Genomic DNA, 11,975 nt, shown 5'->3' on the forward strand with positions numbered 1-11,975 from the left:
CACTATTTGAACTAATAGCATAGATTACTTTTAACCAGTTTTTTTCTTTATATAAACACAATGCCATAATATATCCTCTTTTGTGTCTAACTTCTTTTGTTCGACTTTACATTTATGAGGCTCATCCATATTGTTGTAATTGTAGTTTGTATTCTTATTGTTGTATAGTGTTCCATTGCATGAATTTACTACAATTTAAATTCATTATATTATTGATGGGTATTAGGGCAATTTCCAGTTTGGGGCTATTACAAATAGTGCAGCTAGGTACATCTTAATACTTTTGTCAGGGAAACACATGCCACATTTCTGTGGGAATTAGGAGTGAGATTGCTGGGTCATAGCGTGTGTCTATGTTTAGCTTTAGTGATACTGTCAAGCAGTTTTCCAAACTGTAAGCCCCATTCTTAATGTAAAAGTGAATGCTCCTGCCCCTGTTCTATCCCTTCCTAAGAGTTGTGACAAATCTCAAACAGGACATTACTTTCACATAGGTTTATGAATTTCTGCCAAAACATTGGTGCTCACATTTCAAAATAAATAAATGCATCCATGAAATCCTCACCAGCGGCAGACTGAGAAAGCAAAGAATCCAGATGACAGCCATAATGCTGAGATGCTAAGATGGTTTTCTTTGTTGCCTAGAGCGCTGGGAGTCTTTTGCAAAAGCTGCTGCCAATCAGGCTTGCCTATCTTTGCAGGGCTAATTAACAGCACTTGGGCAAGCAAGGGGGCGGACGCCTGCACGATGATGCGAATGGTGCCATCCCAAGGCTTATGACTAATTATAAACACAAAGCACTTAAGGGCCGAGATTAATAATGAAAAAAAAAAAAAGCCGAAACAAAAAGCTGAAAAACCTCTTCAGAATTCTAATGCCAGCATGGTTGTGGTTGCGTGACTCAGGGCAGGGGTGCTGGCAAAAATCTCCGGACTAAATCACACAGCGCCTATGTCATGCAGCCAGCCTCCCAGTCATGTGCTACAGAAGGGCTTCCTTTGTGTCATGCAGGATTTCAGGGGAGTGTGTCAGCTCCATTTCCAGGGTGCCCTGGGCCCTAGCATGATAAATCTGTTATTCCCTTGCCCTCCCTCAGCATGGAAGAGCAGACTGGGGTAATTCAGGCCCCTACAGGAGTGGGTAGGGTGGGGTTGTGTGTGCAAGCTCTGATCCCCTTAGCTACAAACCACAAATAATCCATAAAGTATGCAAATTAGCTCCCAATTAATAGCACTTACTAACATCTTGAACTGTGTAAGGAGAAGCTGTGTTTGCCAGAGAGGAAAGCAACACTCATGCACCTCATTGCAAAACACGTCTGGTCAGGCGGAAAACCCTGGACTTGCTGGGAGGGAGGGAAGAATGAAGTTGAAACTGAAAGGCTGCTTTGGTGCCCTCAGGTCATCTGGAAAAGTGTCCACACAGTTCAGGCTTGAGGAGTAATTTGATGTGAGATGAGGATTCAGATGAGAATGAGTTTCCCTGCTTCCCCTTTCCTTGGGGCTCTGCTTGGTCCAGGCCCTAATGAGTTCTGAATGTTCAACTACAGGTCCTCCCACCAGCCTCTGAGAAGAGAACAGGACAACCCAATACCCCCAGAAAACTGGAAGTAAGGGTCAAGGGTTGAGGTGAGGGTGGTGGGGGAAGGGAGGAGAAAACAAACTATTACTTTTAAAAAGTGGTGAAAAATTGTTTGCCATTATCTGTTGTTTTTTTCCTTTTTAATACTAGCCATTCTGACTGGTGTGAGATGGTATCTCATTGTCATTTTGATTTGCAGTCTCTCTGATGATGACTTATGTTGAGCATTTTTTAACATTTGTTGGCCACTTGTATGTCCTCTTTTGAGAAGTGTTGGTTCATGTCTTTTGCCTACTTTTTGATGTTTTTTTTTCTTGTTGGTTTGTTTAAATTCCTTATATATTCTGGGTATTAGTCCTTCGTTAGATGCATAGTTTACAAATATTTTCTCCCATTCTGTTGGTGTCTGTTTACTCTGCTGATAGTTTCTTTTGCTGTGTGGAAGCTCTTTAGTTTAATCAGGTCTCACTTGTCAATTTTTGTTTTTGTTTCATTTGCTTTTAAGGTCATCATAATTTTTTTTGCCTAAGCCAATGTCTGGAAGAATATTTCCTAGATTTTCTCCTAGAATTTTTGTAGTTTGAGGTTTTACATTTAAGTCTTTAATCTATTTTGAATTAATTTTTGTATATGGTAAATGGTCCAGTTTCATTCTTCTGCGTATGGTTAGCCGGTTTTCCCAGCACCATTTATTGAATAGGGTGTCCTTCCTCATTGCTTAGTTTTGTTGACTTTGTTGAATACGAGTTTGTTGTAAGTGTGCAGCTTTATTTCAGGGGTCTCTATTCTCTTCCATTGGTCTATGTGTCTATTTTTGTAGCAGTACCATGCTGTTTTGCTTACTGTGGCCTTGTATATCATTTGAAGTTGGGTAATGTGGTGCTTCTGGCTTTGGTTTTTTTTTTTTTTTTTTTTTGCTTAGGATTGCTTTGGACTCTATATGAATTTTAGAATAGTTTTTTTCTAATTCTGTGAAAAATGACATTGGTAGTTTGACAGGAACAGCATTAAATCTTGCAGATTGCTTTGGGCAATATTGGCATTTTAATAATACTGATTCTTCCAACCCATGACCATAGGATGCTTTTCCATTTGTTTCCATTTGTGTAATCTATAATTTCTTTTAGCAGTGTTTTGTAGTCCTCCTCATAGAGATCTTTCACCTCCTTAGTTAGATGTATTCCTAGATATTTTATTTTATTTTATTTTTGTGTGTGGCTATTGTAAATGGAATTGCATTCTTGCTTTGGTTCTCAGCTTGAGTGTTATTAATGTATAGAAATGCTACTGATTTTTGCACATTGATTTTGTATCCTGAGACTTTGCTGAAGTCATTTATCAGGTCTAGGAGCTTTTTGGCAGACTATGGGGTTTTCTAGGTATCAAATCATACTGTCAGTGAAGAGAAATGACTTTCTATTTTTCTATTTGGATGCCTTTTATTTCTTTCTCTTGCCTGATTGCTCTGGCTAGGACTTCTAGTACTATAATATGTTTAATAGAAGTTGTGAGAGTGGGCATTCTTGTCTTGTTCCAGTTCTTAAAGGGAATGCTTCCAGCTTTTGCCCATTCAGTATAATGTTGGCTGTGAGGTTGTCATAGATAGTTCTTATTATTTTGAGGTATGTTCCTTTGATGTCTAGGTTGTTGAGGGTTTTTTAACATGAAGGGATATTGGATTTTATCAAATGCTTTTTCAGAATCTATTAATACAATAGTATGTTTTGTGTTTTTAAATCTGTTTATGTGGTTAATCACATTGATTTGCATATGTTGAACCAACCTGGCATCCCAGGAATAAAGCCCACTTGATCATGGTAAGTTAACTTTTTGATGTGCTGCTGTATTTAGTTTGCTAGTATTTTGTTAAGGATTTTTGTGTCTTTGTTCATCAGGAATATTGGACTGTAGTTTTCTTTTTTGTTGTTGTTGTGTCTTTGTCAGATTTTGGTATCAGGATGATACTGGTTTCATAGAATGAGTTAGGGAGGAGTCCCTCCTCAATTTTTTGAGAATAGATTCAGTAGGACTGGTACCAGGTCTTCATTGTATGTCTGGTAAAATTTGGCTATTAGTCCATCTGCTCCAGGGCTTTTTTGGTTGGTAGGCATTTTTATAACGGATTCAATTTTGTTACTCTTCATTAGTCTATTTAGAATTTCTGTTTCTTCCTGGTTTGATCTTTGGAGGTTGTGTTTCCAGGAATTTATCCATTTCCTGTGGATTATCTGTGCATATAGAGATGTTCATAATAGTCTCTGAAGATCTTTTGTATTTCTGTGGGATTGGTTGTGATGTCATCTTTATTATTTCTGATTGTGTTTATTGGATCTTCTCTCTTTTTTCTTTGTTAATCTAGCTGGATCACTAAATCTCTACTAAAACTATAAAAATTAGCTGGGCATGGTGGTGGGTGCCTGTAATCCCAGCTACTCGGGAGGCTGAGGTGGAAAATCACCTGAACCTACTAGGTGGAGGCCGCAGTGAGCCGAGATCATGCCATTGCACTCCAGCCTGGGCGACTAGAGTGAAACTGTCTCAAAAAAAAAAAAAAAAAAAAAATTGAATTGAGATGCCAAGATTCATTCATTCATCCATTTATCTATTATGAATTTACTGAGCACAGAAGCACCATGTTAGGGGTGAAACCATCTGTAATGATTCTGTGGTTCGCTGATGGCAGATAGTTGTCCACCAAGGATTTGTTCTCTCCTTCCATATAGTAGAGTGGTTTCTGGTAGGTTGCTGCCAAGTCAGGGACCACATGTGCCTCCCCCTTGTATCTTGTAAAGTGGGGTATGATATTGTGAGTCCTCATCAATACAATGTGAGCAGAAGTGAAGTGTCCTGGCCAAGACTTTAAAAAAAAAAAGTGTTTTAGAGCAGTTTTAGAGTCAGGCAAAATTGAGAGGGAGGTACGGAGATTTCCCATATACACCATGCTCCTCCATACACAGCCTCCTCTGCTATCAACATCCACCACCAGAAGGGTAAATTTGTTACAACTGATGAACCCACAATAACAATTGTTATCACCCAAAGTCCACAGTTTACATTAGGATTCACTATTGGTGTTGTACATTCTATGGGTTTTGACAAATGTGTAATGACATTATCTGTCATTATCATATCATACAGAGTAGTTTAACAACCCTAAAATTCCTCTGTACATCACCTATTCATCCTTCCCTCCCCCTAGCCCCTAGGAACCACTGATCCTTTTACTGTCTTCATAGTTTTGACTTTTCCAGAATGTTACAAATTTGGAATCATATGATATGCAGCCTTTTCAGATTGGGTTTCTTTCACTTAACTATGCTTTTTAGTTTCCTCCATGTTTCTTCATAGCTTGATAGCTCATTTCTTTTTTGCTCTCAGTAATAGTCTATTGTCTGGATGTATCACCATTTATTTATCCATTCATTTACTGTATTAGTACATTCTCATGCTGCTGATAAAGACATACCTGAGACTGGGAAGAAAAAGAGGTTTAATGGACTTACAGTTCACATGGCTGGGGAGGCCTCCCAATCATGGTGGAAGGCAAGGAGGAGCAAGTCACATCTTACATAGATGACGAGCAGGTAAAGAGAGAGCTTGTGCAGGGAAACTCCTGTTTTCAAATCCATCAGATCTCGTGAGACTCATTCACTATCCTGAGAACAGTGCAAGAAAGACCCACCCCCATAATTCAGTCACCTTCCACTGGGTTCCTCCCACAACATGTAGGAATTGTGGGAGTTACAATTCAAGATGAGATTTAGGTGAGGACACAGCCGAACTATATCATCCCCCCCTTAGCTCCTCCCAAATCTCATGTCCTTATATTTCAAAACCAATCATGCCTTCCTAACAGTTCCCCAAAGCTTTAAGTCATTTCAGCATTAATTCAAAAGTCCACAGTTCATCATCTCATCTGAGACAAGGCAAGTCCCTTCCACCTATGAGCTTGTAAAATCAAAAGCAAGTTAGTTACTTCCTAGATATAATGGGGGTAGCGGCATTGGGTAAATACAGTCATTCCAAATAGGAGAAATTGGCCAAAACAAAGGGGCTACAGGCCCCATGCAAGTCCAAAATCCATTGGGGCAGTCAAATCTTAAAGCTCCAAAATGATCTCCTTTGACTCCATGTCTCATATCCAGGTCACACTGATGTAAGAGGTAGGTTCCCATGGTCTTGGGCAGCTCCACCCCTGTGGCTTTGCAGGGTACAGCCTCCCTTCCAGCTGCTTTCATGGGCTGGTGTTGAGTGTCTGCGGCTATTCCAGGTGCATGGTGCAAGCTGTCAGTGGATCTACCATCTAGGGCCTGGAGGACAGTGGCCCTCCTCTCACAGCTCCACTAGGCAGTGCCCCAATAGGGACTCCGTGTGGGGGCTCCAACCCCACATTTCCCTTCCACACTGCTTTAGCAGAGGTTCTCCATGAGAGCCCTACCCCTGCAGCAAACTTCTGCCTGGACATTCAGGTGTTTCCATACATCCTCTGAAATCTAGGCAGAGATTCCCAAACCTCAATTCTTGACTTTTGTGCACTCATAGGCTCAACACCATGTGGAAGTTGCCAAGGCTTGAGGCTTGCACCCTCTGAAGCCACGGCCCTGAGCTCTACATTGGCCCCTTTCAGCCATAGCTGGAGTGGCTGGGACGCAGTGATCCAAGTCCCTAGACTGCACACAGCACGTGGACCCTGGGCCTGGCCCACAGAACCACTTTTTCCTCCTAGGCCTCTGGGCCTGTGATGGGAGGGGCTGCTGTGAAGACCTCTGACATGCCCTACAGACATTTTACCCATTGTCTTGGGGATTAACATTTAGCTCCTCGTTACTTATGCAAATTTCTGCAGCTGGCTTGAATTTCTCCTCAGAAAATGGGATTTTCTTTTCTATCATATTATCAGGCTGCAAATTTTCCGAACTTGTATGCTCTGCTTCCCTTATAAAACTTAATGCCTTTAACAGCACCCAAGTCACCTCTTGAATGCTTTGCTGCTTAACAATTTCTTCCACCAGATACCCTAAATCATCTCTCTCAAGTTCAGAGTTCCACAAATCTCTAGGGCAGGGGAAAAATGCATCAGTCTTTTTGCTAAAACAACAAGAGTCACCTTAGCTCCAGTTCCCAAGTTTCTCTTTCCATCTTAGACCATCTCAACCAATACTTTATTGTCCATATCGCTATCAGCATTTTTGTGAATGCCATTCAACAAGTCTCTAGGAGGTTCCAAGCTTTCCCACATTTTCCTGTCTTCTTCTGAGCCCTCCAAACTGTTCCAACCCCTGCCTGTTACCCAGTTCCAAAGTTGCTTCCACATTTTCAGGTATCTACAGCAGTGCCCCACTCTACTGTTACCAATTTACTGTATTGGTCTGTTTTCATGCTGCTGATAAAGGCATACCTGAGACTGAAAAGAAAAAGAGGTTTAATGGACTTACAGTTCCACATGGCTGGGGAGGCTTCACAATCATGGCAGAAGGCAAGGAGGAGCAAGTCACATCTTACATGGATGGCAGGCAGGCAAAGAGAGATCTTTTGCAGGGAAACTCCCATTTTTAAAACCATCACATCTCATGAGACTCTTTCACTATCACAAGAACAGTGTAGGAAAGACCCACTCCCATAATTCAATCACCTCCCACCAGGTTCCCCCCATGACACATGGGAATTGTGGCAGTTACAATTCAAGATGAGATTTGGGTGAGGACACAGAGCCAAACCATATCACATACTGAAAGACATCTTGGTTGCTTCCAGGTTTTAGCAATTATGAGTAAAACTCTATAAACATCCATGTGCAGGGTTTTGCAGGAATGTAAGTTTCAACTCTTTTGGGTAAATACCAAGGAGTGCAATTGCCGGATCTTATTGTAAGAGTATGTTTAGTTTTGTCTTCCAAAGTAGCTGTGTTTATTTTGCATTCCTACCACAATCAATGAGAGTTCCTGTTGTTCCACATCTTCACCAGTAGTTGGTGTTGTCAGTGTTCTGGATTTTGCTCAAATAGGTATGTAGCAGTATTTCATTTTTCTTTTAATTTGTGTTTCTCTGATGACATATAATATGGAGCATCTTTTCATATGCTTAATTTGTCATTAGTATATCTTCTTTGGTGAAGTGTCTGCTGAGGTCTTTGGTTCATTTTTTAATTGAATTATTTTTTATTTTTATTTTTTAGGCAGAGCCTCACTTTGTCACCCAGGCTGGAGTGCAGTGGTATTATCTTGGCTCACTGCAACCTGTGCCTCCTGGGCTTAAGTGATCCTCCCACCTCAGCCTCCAGAGTAGCTGGGACTATAGGTGTGTACCACCATACCCGGCTAATGTTTGTATTTTTTGTAGAGACAAAGGGTTTTGTCATGTTTTATCAGGTTGCCCAGGCTGGTCTTGAACTCTTGAACTCAAGCAATCTGCCTGCCTTAGCCTCCCAAAGTGCTGTTATTACAGGCTTGAGCCACCATGCCTGGCTGATTTAAAAAAAAAGTCATTGAATTTTCTAATTCCTTGAATAGTTTAGATGACAGTCCTTTATCAGATACATCTTTTGCAGATTTTTTTCCAGTCTGTGGGAGAAAATATATCTTTCTTCTCAAGCCTGTGGCTTGATTTCTATTTCTCTTGACAATGTCTTTCACAGAGCAGAAACATTTAATTTTACTGAATACTAGTTTGTTCTTTCTTTTGTGTGTCGTGCCTTTGATGTTGTATCTAAAAAGTCATTGCCATACCCAAGGTCATCTAAGTGTTCTCCTATATCATCTGTCCACTTTTTCTAGCACCATTTGTTGAAAATAGTATTTTTGCTCAATTATATTTCCTTTGCTCCTCTGTCAAAGATCAATTGACTATATCTATATGAGTCTTTCTGGGCTCTCTATTCTGTTCCATTGATTTATATGTCTATTCTTTCACCAATACCACACTGTCTTGATTACTGTAGCTTTATAGTAAGTCTTAAAGTTGGATATTGTCAGTCCTCTGATGTTGTTCTTCTCCTTCATTATTGTATTGATGATTCTGGGTCTTTTGCTTCTCCATATAAACTTTCTAATCAGTTTGTCTACATCTATAAAATAACTTGCTGGGGTTTTGACAGGGCTTGGATTGAATCTATAGATCAATTTGGGAAGAATTGACATCTTGACAATATCGAGTCTTCCTATCCGTGATCATGGAATATCTCTCCATTTATTTAGTTTTTCTTTGATTTCTTTTATCAGAGTTATGTAGTTTTTCTCATTTATATCTTCTACATACCGATATCCCCAACTTATGATGGTTTGACCTACAATTTTTCAACTTTATAATGGTGAGAAAATGGTACACACTCAACAGAAGCCGTACTTCAAATTTTGAATTTTGATCTTTCCTTGGATTAGTGATATGACATTCTGTTTCAGTGCTCCACAGTGCAGTGGCTTGCAGTCAGCCACATGATCACCAGGGTGAACAACTGATACAATCATTCTGCTTTTCACTTTCAGTATGGTAGTCAATAAATTACATGAGATATTTAACACTTTATTATAAAATAGGGTTTGTATTAGATAATTTTGCCCAACTATAGGCTAGTGTAAGTATTCTGAGCACATTTAGGGTAGGCTAGGCTAAGCTATGATGTTTGGTAGGTTAGATTAAATGCACTTTCAACTTACGATATTTTCAACTTAGGTTGGAGTTGTCAGAACATAAACTCATTCTAAGTCAAGAAGCATCTGTACTTTGTAAGATTTATAACTAAGTGCTTCATTTTCTGGAAAGCTAATGTAAATGTTATTGTGTTTTAGTTTTAAATTTTGCTTGTTCATTGCTGGTGTACAGGAAAATGATTGACTTTGGTATATTAACTTTGTCTCTTGCAAACCTTGCTATAATCACTTAATATTTCCAGGAGTTTTTTAAGATTCTTTCAGATTTTCTACATAGATGATTATGTCATCTGTGAACAAAGACAGTTTTAATTTTTTCTTCCTAATAAGTATACCTTTCCTTATTGCATTAGCTAATATTTCCAGTACAATGTTGAAAAGAAGTTGTAAGAGGGAACATCCTTGATTGTTTCTGTTCTTAGCAGGAAAGCTTGGAGTTTCTTACCATTAAGTATAATGTTAACTGTTTTCTATAGATGTTCTTTATCAGTTTGAGGAAATTTCCCTCTATTCTTAGTTTGCTGAGAGTTTTGTTTTTTTTAAATGATCAATGGGTGTTACATTTTGTCAAGTGCTTTTTCTACAGCTATTATTATGATCATGTAATTTTTCTTCTTTAGCCTCTTGATATGATGGTTTACATAATTTGATATTTGAATATTGAACCAGCCTTGCATACCTGGGATAGATCCCACTTAGTTGTGGTATATAATTCTTTTTATACATTGTTGGTTCAATTTGCCAATATTTTGTTGAGGATTTATGCATCTATGTTCATGAAGGATATTGGTCTGTAGTTTTCTTTTCTTCAAACACATTTGTTTGGTTTTGGTATTAGGGTACTGGTGGCCTCATGGAATGAGTTAGGAAGTATTTCCTCTGCTTCTATCATCTGAAAGAGAATTGGTGTGATTTCTTCTTTGAATGTTTGGTAGAATTTACCAGTGGACCCACCTGAGCCTGCTTGGTGCTTTCTGTTTTAGAATGTTGTTAATTATCTATTCCATTTTTTTTCATAGATGTAGGCCTATTCAGACTGTTGATTTCTTCATGTGTGAGTTTTGGCACATTGTGTCTTTCAAGGAATTGGTCCATTTCATCAAGGTGATCAAATTTGTGGACATATCATTGCTCATAATATTCTTGTTTTTTTTTTTCTTTTTTTTTTTTTGAGGCAGGGTCTGGCTCTGTCATTGAGGCTGGAGTGCAGTGGTATGATCAAAGCTCAAGCAATCTTTCTACCTCACCCTCCTGAGTAGCTGGGACTACATGTGTGTGCCGCTATGTCTGGCTAATTTTTAATTTTTTTGTAGAGATGGAGTCTCACTAGGTTGCCCAGGCTGTTCTCCAACTCCTGGGCTCAAGCAATCCTCTTTCCTTGGCCTCTCAAAGTGCTGGCATTACAGGTGTGAGCCACTATGCTTGCCCTTGTATTATTCTTTTAATGTCTGTAGGTTCTTCAGTAATATTCCCTCTTTCATTTATGATATTAGTAATTTGTGTCCTCTTTTTTCTTAGCCTGGCTAGAGAATTATTGATTTCATTGATGTATTCTAAGAACCAGCTTTTGTTTTTTTTTAATTCTCTATCGATTTCCTGTTTTCAATTTCATTGATCTCTCTTCTAATTTTTGTCATTTCTTTTCCTTTGTTTACTTTGGAATTAATTTGCTCTTTTTCTAGTTTTCTGAGAGGAAACAAATTTTCATACATTGTATTAGTCAAAATATTTAAAACTATCTCCTCAGACATCTTCTTGACCCATGTGTTATTCAGAAGTGTGTTGTTCAATCTCCAAATATGTTGGGATTTTTCAGCTATCTTTCTGTTATTGATTTCCAGTTTAATTCCATTGTGGTCTGAGAGTACACATCATATGATTTTTATTCTTTTAAATTTGTTAAGTTGTGTTTGATGGCCTTGAATGCAGTCTACTTTGATGAATGTTCCATGCAAGTTTGAGAACACTGTGTATTCTGCTGCTGTTGAATAAAATAGCTTATAGATGTTCGTTATATCCAGTTGATTGATGGTGTTACATTCAATTATGTTCTTACTGATATTCTGCCTGCTAGATCTGTTTATTTATGATAGAGGGGTGTTGTAGTCTCCAATTATGATAGTGGATTCATTTATTTCTCCTTGTATATATATATTTGCATCTGATATATTCATGCAGTGTTATTAGGTACATACACATTAAGGATTGTTATGTTTTCTTGAAGAATTGACCCATTTATCATTATGTGATGCTTCTTCTTTTTTTTTTTTGAGACTGAGTCTTGCTCTGTCACCCAGGCTGGAGTGCAGTGGCACTATCTCGGCTCACTGAAAGCTCTCCCTCCCAGGTTCACACCATTCTCCTGCCTCAGCCTCCCTCAGCCTCCCGAGTAGCTGGAACTACAGGTGCCCGCCACCACGCCCAGCTAATTTTTTGTATTTTTAGTAGAGATGGGGTTTTACCGTGTTAGCCAGGATGGTCTGGATCTCCTGATTTTGTGATCCGCCTGTCTCAGACTCCCACAGTGCTGGGATTACAGGCGTGAGTCATCGTGCCTGGCCTGTGTGATGCTTCTTTTTATCTCTGATAACTTCTCTTACTCTGAAGAGTATTCTGTATGAAATTAATATAAGTATGCCTACTTTTTTTGGATTAGTGTTAGCATAGTATAGCTTTCTCCATCCCTTCACTTTTCATCTACATGTGTCTTTATAGTTAAAATAGATTTCTTGTACACAATGTATAGT

Source organism: Homo sapiens, chromosome 3, assembly GCF_000001405.40.
Source record: "Homo sapiens chromosome 3, GRCh38.p14 Primary Assembly".
Classification (NCBI taxonomy): domain Eukaryota; kingdom Metazoa; phylum Chordata; class Mammalia; order Primates; family Hominidae; genus Homo; species Homo sapiens.